General features: G+C 52.8%; 3 protein-coding genes across 14 annotated transcripts in view, besides 5 other annotated features; 2 read left to right on the top strand and 1 right to left on the bottom strand.

Annotated features, from left to right (window-relative positions):
• Positions 1-1844: 1844 nt before the first annotated feature.
• MZT2B (mitotic spindle organizing protein 2B) lies at positions 1845-24984 on the bottom strand. Of its 6 annotated transcripts, none has more exons than XM_047445914.1 (4): positions 24186-24376; positions 23863-24011; positions 4199-4313; positions 1845-2469 (listed from the first exon to the last, which is right to left on the bottom strand). In XM_047445914.1, the coding sequence occupies exons 1-4, from the start codon at positions 24353-24355 to the stop codon at positions 2442-2444; spliced, it is 462 nt and encodes a 153-aa protein (XP_047301870.1). In that variant the 5' UTR covers positions 24356-24376; the 3' UTR covers positions 1845-2441. The 6 variants fall into 6 exon arrangements, with proteins under 6 accessions (XP_047301870.1, NP_001317211.1, XP_047301871.1 ...); NM_001330282.2 differs by lacking the exons at positions 1845-2469; positions 4199-4313 and adding exons at positions 15911-16169; positions 22672-22851; XM_047445915.1 differs by lacking the exons at positions 1845-2469; positions 4199-4313; positions 24186-24376 and adding exons at positions 15911-16169; positions 24841-24984.
• On the top strand, positions 8199-14893 carry TUBA3E (tubulin alpha 3e). The gene is made up of 5 exons (NM_207312.3): positions 8199-8280; positions 10267-10489; positions 11411-11559; positions 12172-12852; positions 14511-14893. Exons 1-5 carry the CDS (start codon positions 8278-8280, stop codon positions 14805-14807), a joined length of 1353 nt encoding a protein of 450 aa, NP_997195.2. The 5' UTR covers positions 8199-8277; the 3' UTR covers positions 14808-14893.
• Positions 21954-22690: an enhancer, noted in NCBI's record as "H3K4me1 hESC enhancer chr2:130941521-130942257 (GRCh37/hg19 assembly coordinates)". NCBI's record gives its function as "activates a minimal SCP1, AML or CMV promoter by ChIP-STARR-seq in naive H9 embryonic stem cells {active_cell/tissue: H9 hESC(naive)}" and the evidence as "EXISTENCE:reporter gene assay evidence [ECO:0000049][PMID:30033119]".
• Positions 22691-23427: an enhancer, noted in NCBI's record as "H3K4me1 hESC enhancer chr2:130940784-130941520 (GRCh37/hg19 assembly coordinates)". NCBI's record gives its function as "activates a minimal SCP1, AML or CMV promoter by ChIP-STARR-seq in naive H9 embryonic stem cells {active_cell/tissue: H9 hESC(naive)}" and the evidence as "EXISTENCE:reporter gene assay evidence [ECO:0000049][PMID:30033119]".
• Positions 24121-24630: a silencer, noted in NCBI's record as "silent region_11954". NCBI's record gives its function as "represses an Ori minimal core promoter by ATAC-STARR-seq in GM12878 lymphoblastoid cells {active_cell/tissue: GM12878}" and the evidence as "EXISTENCE:reporter gene assay evidence [ECO:0000049][PMID:35858748]".
• The window catches only part of SMPD4 (sphingomyelin phosphodiesterase 4), a 30366-nt gene continuing 29122 nt past the window's right edge, over positions 24881-26124 (top strand). For 3 of the 7 annotated variants that reach the window (NR_033231.3, NR_033232.3, NM_017951.5), the window contains exon 1: positions 25036-25108. Coding sequence is in view for 4 of the 7 variants with exons in the window: in XM_011511444.4 (XP_011509746.1) it covers positions 25037-25342 (306 nt within the window). In the remaining 3 variants the exon portion in view is untranslated. Of the gene's footprint in view, positions 25343-26124 lie in introns of all 7 variants that reach the window. The other 4 variants (NM_001171083.2, NM_017751.4, XM_011511444.4 and 1 more) reach the window with 2 other exon arrangements.
• Positions 25141-25280: a silencer, noted in NCBI's record as "silent region_11953". NCBI's record gives its function as "represses an Ori minimal core promoter by ATAC-STARR-seq in GM12878 lymphoblastoid cells {active_cell/tissue: GM12878}" and the evidence as "EXISTENCE:reporter gene assay evidence [ECO:0000049][PMID:35858748]".
• Positions 25328-26124: an enhancer, noted in NCBI's record as "H3K27ac-H3K4me1 hESC enhancer chr2:130938087-130938883 (GRCh37/hg19 assembly coordinates)". NCBI's record gives its function as "activates a minimal SCP1, AML or CMV promoter by ChIP-STARR-seq in primed H9 embryonic stem cells {active_cell/tissue: H9 hESC(primed)}" and the evidence as "EXISTENCE:reporter gene assay evidence [ECO:0000049][PMID:30033119]".

The raw sequence follows: 26124 nt of genomic DNA, 5'->3' as shown, positions 1-26124 counted from the left end.
AGGCTAATCTCAAACTCCACCTCAGGTGATCCGCCCACCTCAGCCTCACCAAAGTGCTGGGATTACAGGCAAGCCACCGTAGTCGGCTGACAGTGAGCAGCTTGAGCTGAGCTTGCTTCATCTCTGCCTACGCACAAACCGCTTGAGAACAAATCCCAGGCAACGTATCACTGCATCCGATGTGGAATGGTAATCCTTAGTTAGGGGTTTCATTAACTTGAGTTGTAACTGGCTACAACTACAAATATATTTAGGTTGCAAAATAAACTAAGAAGAAAACAAACAGATATCCTGTGGCTAAACAGCAAAGGGCCCTGAACTTGAGCATGTGCTTTCAGACCTTCTCATTTGTGGGATTCATTAAATAAATTTTAATAGAATTTTTTTGAGACAGATTCTCACTCTGTCGCCCAGGCTGGAGTACAGTGGCACAATCTCGGCTCACTGCAACCTCCACCTCCCAGGCTCAAGTGATCCTCCCACTAAGCCTCCTGAGTACTTCATGCTAGATGTGCATGTCACCACACCCAGCTAACTTTTTGTATTTTTGGTAGAGATGGGGTTTCACTATGTTGCCCAGACTGGTCTTGAACTCCTCAGCTCAATCGATGGGCCCACCTCGGCCTCCCAAAGAGCTAGGATTAGAGGTGTGAGCAACTGCCCCTGGCCTTTAATCAAATTTTAAAGTAAGCATTGCTTAAAACATGTCACTCATCAACAGCAGAACATTCAGAATACCTAGGGCAGCAGTTCTCAAATTGTGGGCTGAGAACCTTGGGATCCTGAGACATTGTCAGAGAATAAATACCCTCTACTTACTGAAAAGGGAATTTTTAAAACCTAGTACCACAGTAATCTCTTTTAATAATTAATTAGCTATCTGTGGGAACCAGGAGTTCTTCATGTACTTCATCCGGAACAGTGTATCCAAACAGATTGAGTGCAGAAACAGACATGAGAACCCGAGCACGTTCTATTAAGCCAGATATTAAAGAAACATTAAAAAATGTAAAAATGCGGCTGGGTGCGGTGGCTCACGCCTGTAATCCCAGGACTTTGGGAGGCTGAGGAGGGCAGATCACCTGAGGCCGGGAGTTCGAGACCAGCCTGGCCAACATGGTGAAACCCCATCTCTACTAAAAATACAAAAATTAGCCGAGAATGGTGGTGCATGTCTGTAATCCCAGCTACTCAAGAGGCCGAGGCACGAGAATCGCTTGAACCCGGGAGGTAGAGGCTGCAGTGAGCGGAGATTGTGCCACTGCACTCCAGCCTGGGTGACAGAGCAAGACTCCATCTTAAAATAAAATAAAAAAAATGTAAAAATGCCATTCTTCTCACTAGATTTTTAAAGAAATAGTTACTTTTCATTACAAACTTTACGTTAACATGTAATGGGTTTTTGTTGTATTGAAAGAATTCTCAGTTTTAATTTCTGCCGTGGTGCATATTGAGAGCTGTAATCTACCTAAGTAGAAGCTCTTTGGGATCCCCAGTAATTTGCAAGAGTGTAAAGGAGTGCTTAGGCCAAGATGCTTCAGAAGCACTGGTCTAAAGCAAGTGGCTTGAAGCGTCCTAGACTATGATTTGCCTTTCTACTGCCATTGGCCCTTTATGGACTGCAGGTGCTCTTATTCAATTAAGCCGGGCCATATCACAGCTCAGCATAAATACCCTCTACTTACTTAAAAGGGAATTTTAAAAACTTAGGACTAGGAACCTCTTTTAATAATTTCACAAATAGATATTGAGGGATGAGCACAAAATAAATGCTTGGCAGATCAACTTACTTGGGTTCACATAAAACTTAAGATGATTTTAAAGTAATTTACATAATGCAGCCCAAGTTTTCAAAGATGTTTTATTAAGGTCATACAAAAGTCCAGTCAATACCATCGCTGAAATATCTAAATAGCTTCCTCCCCACCCCCCCTTTTTTTTTTTTTGAGACAGAGTTTTGCTCTTGATGCCCAGGCTGGAGTGCAGTGGCATGATCTTGGCTCACTGCAACCTCCGCCTCCCAGGTTCAAGCAATTCTCCTGCTTCAGCCTCCCAAGTAGCTAGGATTACAGGCACCCAATACCATGCCTGGTTAGTTTTTGCATTTTTAATAGAGACGGGGTTTCACCATGTTGGCCAGGCTGGTCTCAAACTCCTGACCTCAGGCCATCCACCCGCCTCGACCTCCCAAAGTGCTGGGATTACAGGCGTGAGCCACCACATCTGGCTAAACAGCATCCTCTTTCTGAGCTTCTTGGATCTTCAGATCTCCTGCCACATCATGTCAGCTTTCTGCATGGCTACTTCCATCTCCTCCTCCTTGTCCCACACCTTCTGCTTCTGGGAGTAGAGCTCTGCCATGAGCTCATTGAGCTCCAAGAACTCCTGCAGGGCCAGCTTTTGCTGCTGATGGGCATCTTTCAGTTCTTTGGCTTGGGATTTCAATGTCTCTGAAGCTTCAACCAATTGCTGAAAAAAAAATTACAGATGTTTTATGTTTGCTTAACAAAGGTCTGGAAGGCTGGACATTTAGTCTTACACTATATTAAAGAGTTACAAGTGACAGCCAATGCTGGTTACAGATTAAAGCCACAGATGGGAGAAATCCCCTGCTTGGAAAAAGCCCTGTGCTCACCTCACCCCAGCCAAACATTCAATGGGAAGACCACCTGGGCTCAGGTGCTGAGCAACAACCCCACACCAAGAAAGACCTCGCAACTGCATGGAGTAACTTACAGCAGGACAGCTGGCTCTGTAATGCCAACCTCTGCCCGAGGTCTTCTACACAATTGCAAAGGTGAATAAAGCATTTGGGCACTCAATCTAGTTACTTAAACACAAGAAGAAGCAGAAGCAGAAAAAAATACATAGGCAAAGTGCTGAAGATTTAAATCAGGCCAGGCACTCAAGCCTGTCATCCCAGCACTTTGGGAGGCTGAGGTGGGAGGATCACTTGAGCCCAGGAGTTCAAGACCAGCGCCTGGGCAAAATAGTGAGACCTCATCTCTTAAAAAAACTAAAAAAGAAAGAAAAGAAAATTAAGAAGAAAGAGATTTAAATCAAAGACTCCCTGGGTGGAGGGCCACAAGTAGGACTTACCACAAGTTCAGCTGCACTGACAACCCAACCTTACCACTTGCTGCACTGATGACCCTGACCTCCCTGCAGCTGATCTGGCCAACAGTCTGGCTGTTTAGTCACTGTCACACTTGCTGGACTAAGACTGGAAGTGACGAGACCTGGAGCAAGCTGGCAGGGCGGCTCCCACATGGGGAGGAAAGGCCTCCCCAGGCCTCTCTGGGTCCAGCTCAGAGTCACTGTGACTGTGTCAAGCAATGAGAGGCCGCCCAGCCCACACTGCACTCCCAGACAAGTCATGCAGGGGGATGATACCACAGATGATCTTAAGAAGCAATTTGGTTTTAAAATCTGCCCCATTTTAGAGGACAGATCACAAACTACAGGTCCAAGGACTTCAGTGTATAAATGAATGTATTTTAGAAAACAGAGCCTATGCAGTGAGCTGAGATCGCATGACTGCAGCCTGGTGACAGAGAGAGACTCTGTCTCAAAAAAAAAAAAAAAAAAAGAAAAAAGAAAAGAAAAAAGAACCTAATTGTGTTATTACTATACTTAATGGCATTTGAATATAAAGTTCAGATATCTTACTAAAAACCAAATTTATAAAGGAGTTATGGGGGAATCAGCCACATTTTAACATATGTCCTCTTTTGCAGTTCCCTGTCCTTACTAAGATGCCCCTTCTAAGAGCAGGGGGCATGGTGTAGAGAGAAGGACGAGGTCACTGGTGTCAGGCGCAGCGTGTCACTGCAGATAACACAGTGCCCTCTGGACATCGTTCCTCATTCAGAATGGGCGGGGCTGGGGGAGTTGCTGCTTACTCTGCGGGGTTGAACTGGAGATGGCAGATGATGACTGTGAAGTGGGTGCCTGCTGCAGGCAGCACGCTGAAAGGCACCCATGGCAAGGAGCCAAGCCCAGCTAGCTGACATGGGCTGTGTAGCAACTGGGCACAGCAGGGGCCCTGGAACCAGGCTTGGCCCTGTTGTCCTGCTTGCAGCAGGGACAGTCCATGAGTGGGAGTCCCAAGGAGGTCTGTAAACATCTGTATGAAATGAACCTTACAAAACTCTGCAAAGCCTCTTAAGCCTTTCTCACCCAGAACCAAACTGCCTACCTTGTGCATGTCCTCCTTCTCCTGCCACACCATGCGGTGCTGCTTCTCTGGCCCCCGTAGCTGCTGTGTGAAATCTTGTCGAGGCGCCGCCTTGTCCTCAAGTTGTCACTCAAGCCTGTTTGAATATGAGCAAAAGAGGAAATAATTTGTGTTCCTTTCTGTGTAGCAACTATATGTAAACGTTGTTAGCTGACTTATTGAAATGATTTAATAATTCACAGGACTGTTTTTTTTAGTGCTGTATACTAAATAAAATACACAAGGCAGCAATACTTAGGGGCCAGAAACACTGTTTACTGCAAGTCAATTATGGAATCATAACTTACAGTAAAAATGGGCATGTCCAAGGCTCAATTTTTCTTTTGTCATTTACAGTAGAATAGTTTGTTGCTAATTTTCTACACTGTCTACTGGGAATATGTGTTACTTTTATAATCAGAAAAATAAATATTGCAGTCACGTAGCATATAATGATGTTTCGGTCAACAACAGACAGCATATATATAAGAGTGGTCCCATAAAGTTATAATACCATATTTTTCCCGTAGCTTTTCTGTGTTTAGATACATAAATCCTTGCTGTACAGGTCTGTAGCCAAGGGGCTATATGCTATACCATGTGGCCTAGGTGTGCAGTAGGCTGCACCACCTTGGTTGGTCTAAGAACACTCTGTGATGTTCTCACGTCAACGAAATTACCTGATGATGCATTGTCGAGAACGTATCCCAGCCGCTGAAGGATGCGTGGCTGGACTGAAGAGCACCGTGTGATGTGGGCTACAGCTGAGTTCTGTGCATGATGTGGTTGGAGCCCTGAGGAAGGGGGGCTATGGACTGAATGGTGTCCCCCCCCGCCAATATTAGACGCTGAAGCTCTAATCCCCAATGTGACTGTAGTTGGGGACAGGGCCTATAAGGAGATGATGAAGGTTAAGTGAGGTCATAAGGGTGGGCCCTGATCCAACAGGATTCATGTCCTTATAAGAGACCAGAGCGCTTGGATGCTACCTCCCCGTGGGAGGACATGGTGAGAAGGTGGCTGTGTGCAAACCAGGAAGAGAGGCCTCTGGGGCTTTTAGCCTCCAGAACTGTGAGAAAATAAAACCCTGCTGTTTAAGCCACTCAGTCAGTGGTATTTTTTAGGGTGCCTGGGGCTAATACAGAAGGATTCACCCTCCTGGGGAGAAGGGGCCAGTGGCCTCCTCTGATTTTCCCAGCTGTCGGCAGAACTCCGTCCCTGCCCCTCCTCCTTTTGCCAAAGCATCTTTCTAAGGGAAGACCTGATTGCACTGTTCAGAGGTCCCCAAAGGCCACAGAAAAGTCTCAACTCCTGGACCTCGTGAGTCCCATCCCACTGGGGGAGCTCCCTCTCTCTTCTCTGCTCTCCTCTCAGGAGGGAAAGTTAAGGGCCTGCTTGGCCACCCTCCAGGGAGATGACATGGTGGGATGCTGCATCCTGGTGATGAGCTGGGGGTAAGCCAGCACGTCTCCTCCAGGGCTTTCCCCAGAACTGAATACACACTAAGATGATCTTTAGGGATGGAAGACTCAAACTGGGAAGAATCACACACCTGTAGTCCCAGCCTACAAGGAAGGCTGAGGCTTGGGGATCACTTGAGGCCAGGAATTTGAGTCCAGCCTGGTCAACATAGTGAGAACCAGTGTCAAAAAATAAATAAATAAAAAGGAAGAATCAGGTGACTGTTCCAAAGTCCTCCAAAATGGGTATTGGGTCCTGACTCTGCTCTTCCCGGGACAGGGGTGTGCCTTCCCCTTTCCTGTTGGCCATAAACCCACTCCCTCTCACCAAAGAAATAAGAAAAAGTGTTCACAGCACTTTGAGTTATGTGAGGTGTGCAGAATTTATCAGGCCCAGAGAGACAGGAATATGGACTTCAGTCACACGCCTTGTACTCATGCCCTGGGGTGACTGTTTAAAGGCATTTTGTTCCTGACTAGCTCAACCCATTATCTTCCTGTTCCTGGAATTTGTGATACCAAAGACAATGTAGACAATGTAGAGACAATAAATAGCTTTTTTTTTTTTTTTGAGACAGAGTCTCGCTGTGTTGCCCAGGCTGGAGTGCAGTGGTGTTATCTCGGCTCACTGCAAGCTCCACCTCCCGGGTTCATGCCATCCTCCTGCCTCAGCATCCAGAGTAGCTGGGACTACAGGCACCTGCAGCCATGCCCGGCTAATTTTTTGTATTTTTAGTAGAGACGGGGTTTCACCGTGTTAGCCAGGATGGTCTCGATCTCCTGACCTCGCGATCCGCCTGACTTGGCCTCCCAAAGTGCTGCGATTACAGGCGTGAGCCACCACGCCCTGCCTTCTTTTTTTTTTTGAGATGGAGTTTTACTCTGTTGCCCAGGCTGGAGTGCAATGGCATGATCTTGGCTCACTGCAAACTCTGCCTCCTGGGTTCAAGTGATTATCCTACCTCAGCCTCCCAAGTAGCTGGGACTATAGGTGCTCACCACCATACCTGGCTAATTTTTGTATTTTTAGTAGAAACAGGGTTTCATCATGTTGGCCAGGCTGGTCTCGAACTCCTGACCTCAAGTGATCCTCCTACCTTGGCCTCCCAAAGTGTTGGGATTACAGGTGTGAGCCACCACGCCTGGCCCAATAAATAGCTTACGTTATTTTAATATAAATTCCTCAGGCTAGGCCAGCCGAGGTAGGAGGATCCCTTCAGGTCAGGAGTTCAAGACTAGCCTGGACAACACAGCAAGACTTCTCTAATTTCAAATTCTTGGTAAACAACTTAGGAACTGCCTCTTCTTTTCCTTTAAAAACCCACTTATAACTGCTGCTAATATTTTAAGACAACTTGCATCTCCAGGGTTGCACTTCTCAAACTTGGCCCAAATAAACTATTTTTTTTTTCAAGATGGAGTTTTGCTCTGTCACCCAGGCTTGAGTGCAGTGGCGTGATCTCAGCTCACTGTAACCTCTGCCTCCCGGGTTCAAGGGATTCTCCTGCCTCAGCCTCCTGAGTAGCTGGGATTACAGGCGCATGCCACCATGCCTTGCTAATTTTATTTTTTGTAGAAACGGGCAAGGTGGGACTCACCACGTTGCCCAGGCTGGTCTCGAACTCCTGACCTGAAGCAATCCTCCTGCCGTGGCCTCCCAAAGCACTGGAATTACAGGCATGAGCTGGTGTGCCTGGCCCAACCTCTCCACTTACGTTAATTTTGCCTCCTTTCTTCCTTTTTTTTTTGAGACAGAGTCTGGCTCTGTTGCCCAGGCTGGAGTGTGCTGTGGCCCAATCTCGGCTCACTGCAACAACTGCCTCCCAGTTTCAAGCGATTCTCCTACCTCAGCCTCCCGTGTAGCTGGGATTACAGGTGCCTACCACCAGCCAGGGTAATTTTTGTGTTTTTAGTAGAGATGGGTTTTCACCATATTGGCCAGGCTGGTCTCGGGAACTCTTGACCTCAAGTGATCCACCCGCCTCGGCCTCCCGAAGTGCTGGGATTGCAGGCGTTAGCCATCGCGCCCGGCCCGTTTTCTCCCTTTGGGTCAGAAAAGTGATTGAATCCTGCCACTTCCCGGGTGCTGGGTGGGAACAGGGAAGAGGGGGATAATTGCGGTGCTGCTGTGACTTGGGTAGATGGCGGCAAGGCCTCTCAGAGGTGGCCTTGTTTGCAAAGATCTGAATTAGGCAGGGAGAGGAGCAGGCCTGGGGCAATCAGGGAGGGGCAGTGGCACACTGGGAGCAAGGCAATGTTCCGCGACCCACAGAGGCAGCGCAGTAGCTGTTCCAATCCTGGTCGGAAGACACCCCGGAAATGCCTCAGCAACCGCGCAGCCTTTGATGACCCCGCTGCCTTCCCGCCAATCCTGCATCCAATCAGAGAGCATCCCCACTACACGTGTTGAGCAACGGCCAATCAGAACTGGGATCCGGCCCTCGGCCTGCCTCCCAGGAACTCCGAGCCAATGGCGGCCTGGCACCGGCAGGCCAATCCTGTGCGGCGCGCGTGGGCAGGTCATTGCAGTTGGGCGCTCAGCAGCTGTGGCAGCCGGTTGAGGTCTGGAAGTAGCGTTGGGCTGAAGCAGCGGAGTTCGCCATGGTAAGACCCGGGTCACTCCCGCCCCGCAGATGCCCAGGCAGACGAAGTTGGCCTCGGGTGGACAGAGGGACGTTGTTGCGGGCCTGGGCGCTGAGAGGAGGCCAGAGAAGGACGCAGGGTCTAGTGCGGGACAGGAGGACACGGGATCGTTTCCTGGATCTGCAGGTCCCAGGGCAGGGACGGCGGCTTTTGTTTTAGATGAAGCTGCCGGCCTTTAGTGGACGGGGACCATTGACGGTATCCCGTCCCCCAGAGAGCAAATAGTGGCGTCGCCTCCTGAAGACAGGAGGGCGCTGCTCCCGCTTCACACGTCTTTGTGCTACTGGAAACAGCTGAGGAGCTGCAGGAGCCTTCGGTGACGGGGGTTGGGGCTGTGGACATTGGTCAGATGAGGAATTAAGGCTCAGACGCTGCTGCAACATTGCCTTGTTCACCTAAAGGCAACCGTTAGGCCAGGCGCGGCGGCTCACGCCTGGAATCCCAGCCCTTGGGGAGGTGGAGGCGGGCGGATCCCCTGATGTCTGGAGTTCAAGATCAGCCCGACCAACATGGCGAAACCCAGTCTCTACAAAAAAATACTAAAATTACCCGGGCATGGTGATGCGAGTCTGTGGTTCCAGCTACTCGGGAGGCTGAGGTGGGAGGATCAGCCGAGCCTGGAACTTTGAGGCTGCAGTGAGTCGTGATGGCGCCAGTGCACTCCAGCCTGGGCCACAGAGACCCTGCCTCAAAAAACCAAACAAAAAAAGCAGCCCATTAACATAACAGATTCCCAAGTCCCAAGTCTGAATAGCTGTGATTTGTCAGTTATCCTTTTTTTCCTTTCTTTTTCTTTTTTCTTTTCTTTTCTTTTTTTTTTTTTTTTGAGACAGCACTCAATAAATGCTCTGTTGCCCAGGCTGGAACACAGTTGCAAGATCACGGCTCCCTGCAGCCTTGAACCCCTGGCTTCCAGCAGTCCTCCCGCCTCAGCCTTCCGAGTAGCTGGTACTACAGGTGTGTGCCACCACACCTGGCTAATTTGTAAATTTTTCATAGGGACAGGGACTCACTATGTTACCCAGGCTGGTCTCAAACTGGTCCCAAGTGATCCTCTCACCTCAGCCTTCCAAAGTGCTGGGATTACAGGAATGAGCCACCACACCCAGCTTGGCAGAGTTTAAAGAAACCACCAAAGGACAGTGCAGTGTCCCAGCACTGATGATGTCTGGGAGCCATTACACCCGTAGGCTTCAAGGGGTAGAGAGAGGGCGTGGTTACAAGAAATTAGGAGGGTAGTTTTATGAAGAGGGCAGCCTGCCAAAAGTGTAGCCTTGAGAGGGATTCAGGTCACCCACAGCAGTTGAGCAGGAAGGGGCCAAGGAGGGAGTACCCTGGCACTGCTTTCCTCCAGCCCCCCAGTATCCCACTGCTGCCTGCCATTGACCAAACCAGCAAGAAGCCAGAGGGCGAGGAAGGCCTCTGATGCTGTTCTCAAGGGTCAGCCTTCGAGAGCACAGAGCAGGTGGTGAATGATGGACGGGGTAGAACTGGGGGGCAGAGAGAGGACACACACTGAGCACCTGGGCTTGGACCATGGTGACCTGGGACCTACTCTGTATTTCCTTACCCAACCCGACTACCTTATCCTTTGATCAGGACATAATCAAAAACTGCTACTTATTCTTCAGAGAATTACTGTGACGGGCTATAATGTGGGGTTGATTATTGACATTAAATGGCTTCCAAGTTTTAAAATAACCTAAGTTTTGTGTAGTGGCAAACAGGTTCTAGGGCTACTTCTAGAACTTACTAGCTAGTATGGTTTACAGCAATTAGTTTTCACAGCGATAAAGGGATCAGTCACTAACCCTCCTAGGAAATATCGATTGTGAAAGCGCCAGATACTGAAGCACTATATAAATATTAAATTAGAATATTTTGCATGCCATATAGTTTCAAGTTGCCTTGAAATGAATGGGTTCACATTTATGTTCCGGTTCACAGCGCGAGTGTATCTCTATCCACGTGGGGCAGGCGGGTGTCCAGATCGGCAATGCCTGCTGGGAACTGTACTGCCTTGAACATGGAATTCAGCCCGATGGTCAAATGCCAAGTGATAAAACCATTGGTGGCGGGGACGACTCCTTCAACACGTTCTTCAGTGAGACTGGAGCTGGCAAGCACGTGCCCAGAGCAGTGTTTGTGGACCTGGAGCCCACTGTGGTCGGTAGGTGCCTGGGCACTGGATGGCAGCTTTCCTGAGAGGGTGGGAGAGCATTGGTAAAGCCCCGTGTGGGCTCCTTTGAATCCTCCTGCTGAAAGGATGGGATAGACAGGCATATGCCCATGGCATTGTTAGGAGAGAAACTGAAAGGTTTGTGATGAAAGTGTCTGTGAGACTCGGCTCCTAATTTAGGAAAACCTGACCTACAGGGAAAAGCTGCTTTGCCAGCAGTAAGATGGGCTGTGAAGAGATTCCCTCATGGCTGCCTCAGCCCTGCTCAGGTGGCCCTGCCTGCAGGGTGCAGTGGCATTGGTTCCCTCCCGAATGCTGTGCATTCTCTTATGCTGGTGCACGAGAGTCTTGACCTGCATCTTAGGCATAGAAGGTAAGTACAGAACAGTCATTTGCTTCCTTCAGATTCGCAGCCTGAGGTAGTTTCCAAGGAGAGCTACAAAGAGGCAGCACCTTTCAGTGGCCCCCCAGGAGATGACAGCATCACCTGAAAGCCTGTGGGACCCAGGTCATCCAGGGTGCCCTGATGGGACTGCCCTGCAGAAGTCACACTGACCTGGTGACTGCCCAGGTTGTAAGAGTTTTTAACTTACAGCCTTTGATGTAGCTACACGTAGGAAAGAATTATGTACCTGAGTAGGAGTGCAAGAGCTTATTTCCTTTCACTGGGAACTGGTCGTGCTGACATTTATACCACAAGCTGAGTTTAACGTCGTAGAGTCATAAATTGCATATGCAGTTTGGTTATCACACAGAGACATTTTCTACCAGACACTGCCACTGTTGACCTATGACATGTAGGTCATGTACTTTGAACAGCATGTGCTCTGTAGAAGTGAACACTCCTGGAATGTGTCCATCTTGGTGAGTACAGGCCTTAAAAATTCACAGTACACACTGTCTCTTTTGCAGATGAAGTGCGCACAGGGACCTACAGGCAGCTCTTCCACCCAGAGCAGCTGATCACCGGGAAGGAAGATGCAGCCAGTAATTACGCCAGGGGCCATTACACCATCGGCAAGGAGATTGTTGACCTAGTCCTGGACCGGATCCGCAAACTGGTAAGAAGAGAAGGTTTCATGTGGCCATTGTCTTGCATGGGAGGGGTAGTTCTTGGAATGTGAAAGGGAAGTCATTTTATCAACACTTAGACCAGCATCTTGGCCGGGCGCGGTGGCTCACACGTGTAATCCCAGCACTTTGAGAGGCTAAAGCAGGTGGATTACCTGAGGTCAGGAGTTTGAGACCAGCCTGGCCTACATGGTGAAACTCTATGTCTACTAAAAATACGAAAATTAGCTGGGTGTGGTGGCACACACCTGTACTGCCAGCTACTTGAGAGGCTGAGGCAGAAGAATTGCTTGAACTCGGAAGGTGGAGGTTGCAGTGAGCTGAGATTGCACCACTGCACTCTAACCTGGGCAACAGAGCAAGATTCCGTCTCAAACAAACAAGCAAAAACTTAGACCAGCATCTTGAGTCCTACTGAGTCTGCAATGGTGATTTGTCCGTAGATCTTTGCTTTTCTTTGCTTCAAAGTGTATTGCATGTTTATTATGGATGATTTGAATCCATATCAACTCTTTAGAGGCAAAGAGAAGCGGCCCTGGCTTGTTGGAGGTTGGTGGTGTGGCTTCCACGGGCATTGGCTCACGTTGTCTGGTTTCTCTCAGGCGGATCTGTGCACAGGACTGCAGGGCTTCCTCATCTTCCACAGCTTTGGGGGCGGCACTGGCTCTGGGTTCGCATCTCTGCTCATGGAGCGGCTCTCAGTGGATTACAGCAAGAAGTCCAAGCTAGAGTTTGCCATTTACCCAGCCCCCCAGGTCTCCACAGCCGTGGTGGAGCCCTACAACTCCATCCTAACCACCCACACGACCCTGGAACATTCTGACTGTGCCTTCATGGTCGACAATGAAGCCATCTATGACATATGTCGGCGCAACCTGGACATTGAACGTCCCACGTACACCAACCTCAATCGCCTGATTGGGCAGATCGTGTCCTCCATCACGGCCTCCCTGCGATTTGATGGGGCCCTGAATGTGGACTTGACGGAATTCCAGACCAACCTCGTGCCGTACCCCCGCATCCACTTCCCCCTGGCCACCTACGCCCCAGTCATCTCAGCTGAGAAGGCCTACCACGAGCAGCTGTCTGTGGCCGAGATCACCAATGCCTGCTTCGAGCCAGCCAATCAGATGGTCAAGTGTGACCCTCGCCATGGCAAGTACATGGCCTGCTGCATGTTGTACAGGGGGGACGTGGTCCCCAAAGACGTCAATGCGGCCATCGCCACCATCAAGACCAAGCGCACTATCCAGTTTGTGGATTGGTGCCCGACTGGATTTAAGGTATGACTGGGTGACATGGAGGCCTTTCAGCAAGCAGCAGATGCACAAAATAACACTGGCCTTGAAGGCCCACATCCTTTGGGGAGACTATCCCTGTTCCATGGGCTAGGCATGTGGGCATAAGTTAGTGAACCAGAGTTGATAATTGATTCAGTGATTTTTTTTTTTTTTTTTTTTTTGAGACAGTCTTGCTCTGTCGACCAGGCTGGAGTGCAGTGGTGCGATCTCAGCTAACTGCAACCTCTGCCTCCCGGGTTCAAGCAATTCTCTGGCCTCACCCTCCCAAGTAGCTGGGATTACAGGTACCTGCCACCATGCCCGGCTAATTTTTGTATTTTTAGTAGAGACGGGGTTTCGCCATGTTGGACAGGTTGGTCTTGAACTCCTGACCTCAGGTGATCTGCCTGCCTCAGCCTCCCAAAGTGCTGGGATTACAGTCGTGAGCCACTGCGCCCAGGTCAGTGATGTCTTTTGAACTCTTTCTGAGTCATCACACTATATATCTGTGGTGAGCTTTATTTATTTATTTATTTTTTGAGACAGGGTCTCGCTTTGTCTCTCAGGCTGTAGTAGTGTGATCCTGGCTCACTGCAACCTCTGCCTCCCAGACTCTAGCGATTCTCTCACCTCAGCCTCCCAAGTAGCTGGGAACACAGACATGTACCACCATGCCCGGGTAATTTTTTTTTTTTTTTGAGACAATCTTGCTCTGTCGTCCAGGTTGGAATGCAGTGGCACGATCTTGACTCACTGCAACCTCCACCTCCCGGGTTCAAGCACTTCTCTGCCTCAGCCTCCCAAGTAGCTGGGATTACAGGCACCTGCCACCACGCCTGGCTAATTTTTGTATTTTTAGTAGAGATGGGATTTTGCCATGTTGGCCAGGCTGGTCTCAAACCCCTGGCCTCACGTGATCTGCCCGCCTGTCTCCCAAAGTGCTGGGGTCACAGGCTTGAGCCACCACACCTGGCCTGATGTTGTCATTTATAGAACGAGTTTGCTGATCCCTGCTCTAGTTGACCCTGTGCACTGCTGCCAGGACCTCAGGTCATGTTATTACCGAGTTCTGAAACTTGGAATGCTTCCCCTTTGGTTACCACCTTGGAATGTCACCCCCTACTTAGGCAGGCACATGGACCACTTCGACCACTTCCTGCTGCTGTGGTAGCAGCATTCATATGACTCTTGACCCATGATCTGCTACCTTTGCATATCCACAGTGGCTTGTTTTGTGGGTCAGAAGTGGGTATGATGTTCCTTGTGATAGCATGGGCAAGAGTTGTGTACTCTGAATCTATCTGGGTGGAAGAAGTTTAGCTACAGAATTTAATTGTAATCTACAAAGAAGACAAGCAGCATACATTTTCAGAGGGAAGACTGTCTTCACCTGGGCACCTATCACATGTCACAGGTACTAGGACACAGCCCTTTAGGTAGCTTGGGATCCCACCAGGGTGGCTACCTCCAAGGTTCCTTTCTCTATTCCTCGTCTGGAACTATCACCCTGCCTGGTGCAGAGAAGGGCTTAGTGACGTTTGTGAGGTGAACTGAGCATTCTCCGTGTCACCTACAGGGTGTCTTCTGTTTGAGGAGAAGTAGCTACCATTTCTAGGTTTGATATAAGCTTCACGGACTGCTTTCTTTCCCTTCTCTGGCAGGTGGGCATTAACTACCAGCCCCCCACAGTGGTCCCCGGGGGAGACCTGGCCAAGGTGCAGCGGGCCGTGTGCATGCTGAGCAACACCACGGCCATTGCGGAGGCCTGGGCCCGCCTGGTCCATAAGTTCGATCTCATGTATGCCAAGTGGGCCTTTGTGCACTGGTACGTGGGCGAAGGCATGGAAGAGGGAGAGTTCTCTGAGGCCCGCGAGGACCTGGCAGCTCTAGAGAAGGATTGTGAAGAGGTGGGCGTGGATTCCGTGGAAGCTGAGGCTGAAGAAGGCGAAGCATACTGAGGGGAGGGTGTGGTGGGTTCTCCCCTGCCACCCCTAGGATGGCTGCTTTCAAGTTGTTTGCAATTAAAGATTCTGTATAAAACCAAGACCTCTGAGTGTCATGCAGCTTAGCTCTGCCTACAGGAGCTGGTGGGACCCCAGAGCCTGCATGGACAGCGGTGGGGTGCCAGCCTGCCCTGCTGGCGTGGGGTTGGGTGCAGCAGGACTGTACATAAGCAGCTGCCACAGAAGTAACCTGACCAGGGGAAAATAGTGTTTCTTCAAAGCCAGGCGTTCAATGTATAGATTTCCTAAATTCTAGGAAAGCTGAGTCAGGGTTTTCAACTGAATTTGTGATTTTTCGGGCTTCTTTATTGATGGGTCATGCTGGCTAAAAGGGAGCATGAAGTGTTGGAGGTCTGTGGATGGGGCTTGTCCATGAAGTCTCTAAAGCTGTGGGTCAAATATGTAAGGTCAGGACATTTTAGAGGGGGAAAGAATATTAACCGAGTTCCACACAGCATTCGTGACCCACAGAAGGTCACAACACACCCATGCTGACCCCAGTGCTCCACGGTAACCTGGAAGGCAGCGTTCGCCCTCTGTGCGCACACACAGCCACCCTGTCCCTCAGCACTGTCAACTGCCTTGGTAGAAAACCTCCCATGAGGTGGGAGATCGAGACCAACCTAGCTAACACAGTGAAACCCCGTCTCTACTAAAAATACAACAAAATTAGCCGGGCGTGGTGATGGGCACCTGTAGGCCCAGCTACTTGGGAGGCTGAGGCAGGAGAATGGCGTGAACCCAGGAGGCGGAGCTTGTAGTGAGCCGAGATCGCACCACTGCACTCCAGCTTGGGTGACAGAGCAAGACTCCATTTCAAAAAAACCAAAAAAACCTCCCACATTTCACTTCAAGTGAAGCTTGTTGACGTCTATTTATAAAAGACCTGGCAATCCAGATGCCTTTTCTCAGAACCCAAATCAGGTTCAGGAAGTTGACCCATGGTGAAGGGACCTGGTTAGTTCACTGTGGCACAACCAGGACCGGCACAGAAACTTCATTCTAAGTGTGCCTTAATATAAAAAAAAAAACAAAAAAAAAAAACGGTAGACAACATCTGACCTGGACCCTCTGCATCTCAGAAAGGTTTATTATCAATTGAAGGAGGTAACATGTAGCCTTTGCTGGGGACAAAGATGCAACAAGTCTCTGCCCCATCCTAGGTGCTGCCCCGTGTAGGGCTCTTCCCAGGCCCGCCCCCCTTGGGCAGCCTGGTAGCGCTGGGCTGGCGTGGCATCCTCTGGCTGGATCCTTCGCGGCTGCTGCGTTCCGCCAGGGCCAATGCTCCCCCGAGGGCAGCGCTGCCTTTGTTTCTCCCTGAGGAGACACAAAGCACAATGATTAGGAATGGGCGTGCCCCGTAACTGCAGCACCTGCTGTACTCGTGGTCCTTGGGCAACATTTGTGTCTGCACATTTCCATCAAAGTCCCTTCAGCTAGAGGCCCTGCATCAGCCCCAAGTCCTGAGACTCAGAACCACTAAAGACAGGTCACGCCCCAGAAGCCCTTCGCAGTGTGCAGGGGACCCTTTTGGATGTGTCCTAGGAGCAAAGCCATGCAAGGAGCACACTGCCAAGGGAACATTTTGAAAGGACACATGCCACGGGCCCATTTAGGGAAAGGTAGGTGTGCTGGTCCACACCTAGCCTGGTCAGCAAACCTAGTCTGCCCTGATGGTGCCATCAGCGGCGGCAGCAGCAGGGATGCGCTGCCTCATCCTCAAGGTGTGTTCATGCTGGACTGCACATCTGAGCTGCCCTAGATGGTGACAGGCAGGAAGTACTGCAGTCACCAAGTCCTGGAATTGGGTTTCTGATTTTGATTTTGGAAGCTCTTTCATTGTTTCCTACCTACCCGAGTGTTCTGCAGTGGTCAAGCCTCTTGCTTTCGGGTTTAGCTGCCAGATTCCATGACAGGGTTCCTGCCACAGTCTGAATGCTTGAGACTTTCCTTCTGACCACCAGAGGCTCTCTTGGATGAAGACCACTGGTTCAGAGTTTCTTTGATTTGTAATTTGCTTACTTTACTCTTTAAGATAGCCAAGAAAAATCTGCAACCACACTTGGGCCAGACCTTTATTTTAATGGGATGGATTTCCCTGGGCTCAGGGTGTTGACAGCATCGGCAAGACTGAGAGGACCCTCCAAGGTACAAACGTGCCCGGGTAGCAGGCTTGCCCGTGGGGTCACAGACCCCCATGTGGAGTGCCTTGGCCAGGGCTCTCCCCTGCTCTGGCCTGGCAGGGTCTGGCCTGTGGGCTCTAAACAGGGCATGTGTCCCCTGCCTGACTCAGTGTTGGGTCCCCCATTTCATCCCCCCAGTGTTTCCTTTGTCCTGACTGAGGAAGTGCCTTGACTACTCTGACCTAATCAGCTACATGTTCCCCCTGCAGGCTCAAACCCTGGCTGGGGCTTGCATGTTACCAGACACTGATACACGTTTAGGTTGTTGCCTGGAACACTGAAAGATCTGACATGTTGCTAAGCACGTGGAAACTGGTCCCACCCCAGCCAAATTCCTTGCACCCTCATAGAAACTCCACACCCCACCCCCTCAGTGCGGTGTGCCTAGGCACAACCTCTTTCCTGGCTGTCCCTCGTGAGGGTACACTGCAGCCCCCTCTGTATGTAAGCTCCCTAACAAATGCTTTGGACTGACCACCCTGGCATTAAGTGTTTCTTCCTTTGGAATCCCAACTGGCTCTCATCCTGGAAAGGTTTGGGGCAGTCCCTTGCAGGAACTCCCCTGCCATCACTTTTAGGGTGACTCCAGACAAGGGTTCAGCCAACAGAACACCCAGCCTCAATCCTGGTCCTTCCCTGGCCTCTTATCAAGTGTAGTCAAATACCCTGCAATGGGAAACTGGATTCCTGGAGAAAAGATGCAACCGGGTGTCTAGAGATCCATTAGGTCATTTCTGTTTCACCATCTGTCACCCTGAACAAGCAGAGACTCCTGTGTCTGAGATGCCGTGGACCCCCGCTCTTCCAGAGGTACCTCCAGCTCCCTTTCTATGCTAATACCAGAAAATTCTCCCCATACCCTGCAGGGATAGGACGGCCCTCCTTTTGAGTTTCCGGGGAGTTCTTCCTCAGAGAATGAGATCTTTGCTCATTCTTGCCTGGTGGTGGTGAGGGTTACAGCGGTGTCATGCTTGGAACTCTGTCAGCTTGTCACACTTGACTCAACAAAGATGGAGTCAGGGTTGCCCTGAGCCAAGGAGGAGCGCAGTCAGGAACACGTGGTGGGTGATGATTGGCCACCTCAGCCCAGCAGTGACTCGTGAAAAAGGCACAAAGCAGACAATAGCCACCACGCATCTCTTGTGGTACAAACTGCCATAATTCTAGTCCCCACTGACTGGTCAAGGGGCAAGGATTCTGTCTTCCATGAGCAGACGGGCCCCGCCACCCTGCAGCAGCTCCCACACTGGGCCAGCATCCTCCTCTGAGGCCACAGTCCCTCCGCAGGCCAGGCCAGACAGAGTCAGATCTTCTGTAGCCGCAGCCTAATCTGGGTGCTTAGGTGCCCATGCGCTCTCAGCTCCCCACAGCACGCAGCATGGCAGGCCGCAGACTTGGGCCTGACTCAGAGTCGGCTTCCCTTCAGCTTGCTGCCATCTGAGCTTCCTCTCCTCCCCTCAGCAATGACCCAGTCCCTTCTGGAAACAAGGATGAGAGGGAAGCAGAAAAGAGCAAATAATGCTTTTTTTTTTTTTTGAGTGGTGGGGGAGGGGGGTTTAGAGACTGAGTCTTGCTCTGTCACTTGGTCTAGAGCACAGTGATGCAATCACAGTTCATTGCTGCCCCAAACTCACGGCCTGGAGGGATCTTCCTGCCTCAGCCTCCGATGTAGCTGGGACTACAAGCATGGGGCCACACCTGGCTAATAATGCTTATCTTTAAATCTGACAGGGTTGACAAACCCTGGAAATGTGAAACCAACATAACTTTAAGCCATAACTGATACTAAGAAAATCCTGGAAATCTTCAGGAATTGTGCGCTCTCAGGGTTAGTGGGGAGCCCTGTTCAGGCCTCCTCACTTTATGAAGGATGAGAAGGCCCAGAATAGAATGGCCTGCAGTGCCTTGCAGTGGGGAAACCAGCTTTGCTTAGCCCTGCTCCCTCGGGAGGGGCTACTGAGTCAGACGGGCTAGACAGTGGGATTGAACCAAGTGTGGCTGCAGGTTGGGGTGTGAGGGCGGGGTGACTGATGCCCCTACGCCTGGTCCCTGGAGGGCCCTCCTAAACGCCAAAGATAGTCAATGACCATTGAATGTTGAAAACAGCCTGGCTCAGCAGGGGTCAGTGGCTCATGCCTGTAATTCCACTACTTTGGGAGGCCAAGGCGGGAGGATCCTTTGAGGCCAGAAGCTAGAGACCAGCTGGGACAACACAGTGAGACCTCCATCTCTACAAAAAATTAAAAAATTAGCCACGTGTGGTAGTGTGCACCTGTAGTCCCAGCTACTCAAGAGGAGGTGGGAGGATTGTCTGAGCCCACGAGGTTGAAGCTGCAGTGAGCTATGAGTGTGCCACTGCACTCCAGCCTGGGTGACAGAACAAGACTGTCTCAAAAATAAATAAATAAATAAAAAGTAAAAGAAAATGCAGAATTAGCTCAAATACTTTAATCTAAAATATCCAACGTATTATTTCAATACGTAATCAGTACATAAGTTATTCATAAGATGTTGCATTCACCTCTGTTCTTTTTCTTGTTTCTTTGTAGAAATGGGTGGGGTCTTGCTATTTTGCCCAGGCTGGTCTCAAACTCCGAGCTTCAAGTGATGATCCTGCCTCAGCCTCCCAAAGTGCTGGGATTACAGGTGTGAACCAATGCCCAGCCTCATTCACTTTGGGGTTTTTTGTTTATTTTTGAGACAGGGTCTCACTCTCTCACCCAGGCTGGAGTGCAGTGGTGCAGTCACAGCTCACTGCAACCTCAACCTCCCAGGCTCAAGCAATCCTCCAACCTCAGCCTCCCAAGTAGCTGGAACTACAGATGTGTGCCACCATGCCCTGCTAATTTTTGTGTTTTGTAGAGATTGGGTCTCCCTGTGTTGCCCTGGCTAGTCCTGAACTGCTGAGCTCAAGAGATCCAGTAGCTGTGGACTCCCAAGGTGTGGTGGGTTTTTTGCATTCCCTTTTGTACCGGTCATTTGGCATCTGCTGTGCATACCACACGCAGTGCAATGACCATGCCAGCCATGTGTGGCTCAAGGTTCCTGTATCAGGCAGCACAGCTCAGGTGAGATGGCTTCCACACTCCAAACGTCATCTTACATGCATGCTCTGGACAACTTTTAAAACGTATAGTTTCTCTAAACTTAAATAGAACGCTTGACTGAATTTATTTTTCCCTCAATGACTCCAGACTCTCACCAAGACAAGCATTGCCCCTCTGTGCTTCTGGGGTTTTCTATTTCCCCTTCCCTGTGGGTATGAGTGAATCTGGTGGTGGTTGTCCCCACAGGCTGTCTGGATGGCTGGGGGACAGGCATCCAGAGGACCCAGGGTGCCTGCTGCAGCTCAGAGGCAAGCTTGAGAGGGCCTGGCCCACAGCCTGGAGAACTCCACACCCGAGTCCTGTGGGAAACCTATGGCCTCCATGCCCCCCAGCCGGATCACTCCAACAACCCCCCTTATGTCCTCCACCCCAGATTCTGCCATTACCAGGGCAGCCGGAGCTCTGTGTGGTCAGATGCTGTAACATGTGGGCCTCAGAGAGCTCTCAGCATTCCATCTGTGGCCTCTGCTTCTCACTCAGCAGCACACTCCTGGTGTGGCCCCACATCTGCCCCATTCCCCTCCACCTCCTCCTCAGGTTCCACTCTATCTCCACAGGGCCTCGGTGCCCTCATGTCCTGGCTTTCTGCCACCCAGCCTACAGGACCTGGGCTATGCTTCCAGGACAGAGCCCTCAAGGAACAAATGACCCTGAGGGTCCCAGCACTCCAGGCCACTCCTGTCCTTGGGTAAATTCTCTCGGAGCCCCCATTCGCTCACACAGCACCCCCTAATCCTCCTGGCCCCTCTATGCCTGCATTTCCAGTGCCACAACCCTCACATACATCTTGACCGTGCCCCCCCACCTGCCTCCTCCCGCCCCCGGCCTACCAGCACCTGGACAGCGCTCTGCCTCACCCACGCCCTCCCACTGCCCCAGCTCACACGTGTGGGGCTCTGCCGACCCCCCTCCTGCTGTAACCCTTGTTACCCCCCTGTGTAACCCTTGCTGCTCTCTGGGCTCTGAAGCCTCCTCCCATCTCCATTGCTAGCGGTTTTTCTTTTTTTTTTTTTTTTGAGACAGGGTCTTGCTCTGTTGCCCAGGCTGGAGTCCAGTCACAAGCTCTTGGCTCACGGCAACATCCCCCTCAGGCTCAGGCGATCCTCCCACCTCAGCCTCCCAAGTAGCTGGGACTACAGATGGGCGCCACCACCATGCCCACCTGGCTAGTTTTTTTTTTTTTTTGAGACGGAGTCTCGCTCTGTCCCCCAGGCTGGAGTGCAGTGGTGTGATCTCGGCTCACTGTAAGCTCCACCTCCCAAGTTCACGCCATTCTTCTGCCTCAGCCTCCCGAGTAGCTGGGACTACAGGCACCTGCCACCACGCCCAGCTAATTTTTTTTGTATTTTTAGTAGAGACGGGGTTTCACCGTGTTAGCCGGGATGGTCTCAATCTCCTGACCTCGAGATCCGCCCGCCTCGGCCTCCCAAAGTGCTGGGATTACAGGCGTGAGCCACCGCGCCCAGCCCTGCCTGGCTAGTTTTTGTATTTTTTGTAGAGATGGGGTCTTGCTATGTTGCCCAGGCTGGTCTTGAACTCCTGAGCTCAAGGGATCCACCTGCCTTGACTTCCCAAAGTGCTGGGATTACAGGTGTGAGCCACCACACTGGTCTCGCTGGTGGTTTTCCTCACTGCCTCTCACTGGGCTCTGAGTGTGATCATCTCACTTCCCTGCCACACCCTCTGCCCTGAGAGCTAGGCCTGGCTCCCAGAGCCCTGAGTGAGTGCTGAGTGAGCAGCAACATCCCCTGGAGTGACAAGGACTCTGTTCCCAGTTTCTCCCTCCTGCTGGACACTTGCCCCTCAATTGCTCATCTCAGCCTGCAGTGCATACACCCCTACTCCAGGCCTGTCCCTCAGCCCCTCTCCACCCTCCCTTGGGTCCGAGCTCTGGGTGGCAGTGAGGTGGGCGCTGTCAGGAAGTGCACGCAGGAGGTGCAACCAAAGACCCCTGGGCTCTCACAGGACCCTGGCTCTGAGCCCCTGATCACACCTGCTGACACCTGGAAAGTGTGCTAACTCAGGAGTGAGGTGGGCAAGGGGGCTGAGTGCTGGAGTGTGGCCACGGGGCCAGCATATGGCATCTGTGTGGCACTGCCCAGGAGACTCTGGGAAGGTGGGAGTCTCTGTTTCAGCCTCCAGACTTCCTGTCCAGATAAGGGACAACTTCTAAGAGGCCGAGGTGTTTGTCACGCCTGGGGCTGTGCTCTCCAGCACAGCACACCGCACTCTGGCCGGCTGTCTTCCCTTGGAGAGGGGCTCTTTACACTCACCACAGTTCGCCTCTGGGGTGTGGGGGTGTTGGTCCTGTCCCCAGATGCCAGCCCGACTGTGGGGTCTAGAGACTGCCACACTATGTCTCTAATAAACCGAGTCAGAAATCGTGCCCTGTGGCTAAGCGGCAGGGCAGCGATGGCCTGCATGGTCCTGCCCTTGGAGCTCAAAGCTGCTTGGGCCTCCTGGGGCCAGGCAGTTTCCATGGAAACAAGGGAGAGCACCAACCCCCAGAGATAAGCCAATAAACGCAACCTGCAAAAGGAGAGAACAGGCAGCAAGAGAGGCGGAGGGAACCCGGGGGGCCTGGAGAGAGAGGCGAGTGTGTGGCAGCCGGGCTGTGGAGCAGAACCGGAGAGGCCGCAGGCTGCGGGCTGGAGGAAAAGGAGGGCCTTGCAGGGGGGCTACTGTTCCTGGCAGAGAGAAAGGAGGCCTCTGGAGGTCAGAGAGAGACACAAAGAGAGCAGACAGAGCGAAGGTCAGTGAAGAGGCCAGCACGCAGGTGCCCGGGCCCTCTTGGGTCAGCGGGTGTGGGTGCCCAGGCCCTGGCACTCCCCCCATGAAGGCAGCCTGCTCTCCACGCCTTCTCAGGATGCCTGTGCGGGTCTCCTCGTGCTTCCAGGCAGGGAGCCAGCTCTGGGCCTTCTTCCATTGGCCTAGGAGGTTGTGCTGCATTTCAGAGAGAGCCATCGGGAGCAGAAGCAACATGCGGAGAGGATGAGCAGGGACAGAGGCTCCACCATGACACTCTCAGTCCCAGAATCTCCTCAGCCCAGTCACCACACTGGAGAGGGAGGAGGCCCTTCAGACCCCGCAGGCCTCTGCACCCTGGGAGTTCCGCGTCTGACTCTCTTCCTGCAGTCATCAGAGGGAAAGCTGACCAGGACTGGCCAAGCCCCTGCGCAGGAACTGGGCCCAGGTGGGGTAAAGGCAGGAAGACCTCTGCCTGCCCTGGTCCCTGGGCACTTCCCTGGATGCTGTATACCACAGGACAGAGATCGAGACTGTCTTTTGAAAAACATTTAGAGACAGGATCTCACCCTGTCACCCAGAGTGGTCTAAAACTCATGGCCTCAAACGATCCTCCCGCCCTGGGGTCCCAAAGATTATAGGCGTGAGCCAGGGCGCCCAGCCCCAAACTGTCTTGATTCCCGACGTTGTAGGATGAAGGCCTGAGTGAAGAGGTGGAGGGGAGCTAAGCGGAGGAGCCCTACCCAGCCTGGACCACCCTGGGGTACGCACTCTGCGTCCACCTGACCTGGACGTGCCTCCTAAGGCTGGCAGCGAAGCCCAGGAGCAGAGCCCACGGATGGGCCCTGCAGGTGCTGGGCCTAGACCGACAGACAGGCCTGGCCACTCAGGGCCACGCCGCCGCTGTGCCGCGCCTGCCCCCTCCCCGCCCGCCACCCCCGCCACTGGGGCAGGGACAGCGGGCCCAGCTCTGACCTCGGGTCTCGGGCACGCTCGACGTGGGCAGAGACACGGCCGCAGGGTCCTGGGGCTCGCTCGCTAGCCTCTGCCCGGCACACATGGACTTGAGCATCTGGAAGACGGCGAGGGGGGCCACGTTCAGCTTCAGCAGGTCCACCAGGATCCTGGCGGGGACAGACGCGGGGCCGGTGAGCCCTCTCCGCCCGGCGCGGCCACCTCCCTGAAGACCCGACAAGGACGGGGGCGGGGGCTCCTCCCGACCAGCGGGCCGGGCGTACCCGGAAAGCAGAGGTCGGGGGGTGTCTGGCTAGCATGCGGCCCCCACCCGCCCCGCTCACTTGAACACGTCGGGGTCGATAGCGCCGCCCGCCGCCTGCGCCAGCTCGTACAGCTCCATCTCCTCGGTGCTCAGCACCTTCTTCCGCCGCAGCGCCAGCTTCTGCCGGGCCGCCTCCAGCCCCGGGGGCGCCGCCGACCCCGGCCCAGGCCCTACGCCCTGCGCCGCCATCCCCGCGGCCCGCGGAAAGGTGCGCTCCGCCCCGCCGCGCCCCCTAGCGGCTGCGCCCACCACCCTCTCCCTGCAGCGTCAACGTCTGGCCTCCCGGGCTGCCCTGGCGGGAGGGGCGGGAGCGCGGGGACGGGGCCGCCTCCGCGGCGTCATTGAAGCCCAACAGTTATTGGGCGCTCACGGTGTGCTGAGCGGCGCTCTAGGAGCCGGGAGTGGCATGGCGGACCGCAGGGGTCCGCTGCTTGGCGATCTGGGCCTCCCTGATAGACTGCATTGGTCGTGCTCGCTTAGGTGGCAGCACCCAGCCCAGTGCCAGGCATACATTGGGCGCTCGGTAAATGCCTCTTTCAAGAAAGCGTGCAATTTTCTGGTCCGCACCGGTGCACCACTAGGGGTCGCTTTTCGGGGCGGGCGGGGGGAAGGGGGGGGCACTAATCAACAATACTGCTTACGCGCACGCGGATTCCTTGCTGGGGAGAAAGTACCTTGGGGCGCCGGAGGCCGCCACAACGCAGGCGCATTCAGCTAAGGACCACTCCCTCCCCCGCACTCCTGCCTCGCCATTTCTCTTCCCCGCCCGGCCGGCCTTCGCTTTGCGCACGCGCCTTTTGAGGTAACGGCCCAAAGAGGTGGAAGCGCTTTTCCCGCCCGGCCGCGGGGCGTGGCTCTGCGCGCAGCTTGATGACGACTTTCGGCGCCGTGGCGGAATGGCGGCTTCCATCTCTGAGGCGAGCGACGCTATGGATCCCACAGGTGAGTGGCGCGGGATGCGCGCCTGAGACGGTCCGGCGCCCTGGGGGCTTCCCCGAGCCCCTGCGGAGGCCATCTCCGTTCCTCCGCGAGCCCCAGGACTCGGGCCGGCCAGCCGGCTCTGCCCAGGCAGGGCAGGCTGGGGAGTGGAGGGCCCCGGTTGAGTCTTCTGCCACCCCTCTGGGCCATGCCTTTGTGCCACCTTCCCGCGCGGCTCGTACACTCTGTCCCGGTCCGGTAGGTGTTCGCTGAAGGTTAACCTTCGTTGAAGGAATTGAGGGAAGGAGAGCTTTGTGTTGAAGTTGAGCCTTGGGCTCAACAGGCGGTGTGGGTGTAAGAGCCGGGTGTGGGTCCCAGCTCGACCCTTCCCCTGTGTGCTCCACATCTCCGAGCCTTGGTTTTGGAGGCTCCCGAAGCCCAATTGGCAGGAGAGTTGGGAACAAGTGGGCGCGTGCTGTTAAGGGAGGTCTTGGCATGACAGAATTTGCTTGGAATGATTAGCGTTGCCCAAGGGCTGTCGCTGTCAGAAAAACAAAACAAAACAAAAAACAAACGGGGTCCGAAGCAGCTCCTGGAGAAAATAGGTGTTGGAGAGTCGCCATGAAGTGGACTCTAGGTGCATGGCACGCAGAGACCTGTGACGGGGGAGGGTGGCCATGGCAGAGTCAGATAACAGGGGTGTGGGAGACACCTCTTGGGAATTCTCGGGTTTGAATTTCCTTTCTTGGAAATTTCCTAGAAATTCCTCTGGGCCTCATTCTTTCAGTCGCTGCCCATGAAAGCTTCTTCTGAGCAGAGATGCTCTCCCCTTCATCGTCTCTAGAGCTCCGCACTTACCGAACAGTCCACAGTTTAATGCTGCTTTGATCATTTTGTAGTAGTGCAGCGTTTTCTTGACCAAGTGCCTTAGGACTGAGGCGTTTTTCTTTAACACTGCAGTTGATAGCTAGGTTAAGAATTGAGGCCGGGAGCGGTGACTCACGCCTGTAATCCCAGCACTTTGGGAGGCCCAGGCGGGT

The sequence above is a fragment of the Homo sapiens genome, chromosome 2, assembly GCF_000001405.40.
Source record: "Homo sapiens chromosome 2, GRCh38.p14 Primary Assembly".
Taxonomy (NCBI): domain Eukaryota; kingdom Metazoa; phylum Chordata; class Mammalia; order Primates; family Hominidae; genus Homo; species Homo sapiens.
The sequence above is the reverse complement of the archived record's forward strand: the minus strand, read 5'-3'. Positions and strand labels throughout refer to the sequence as shown.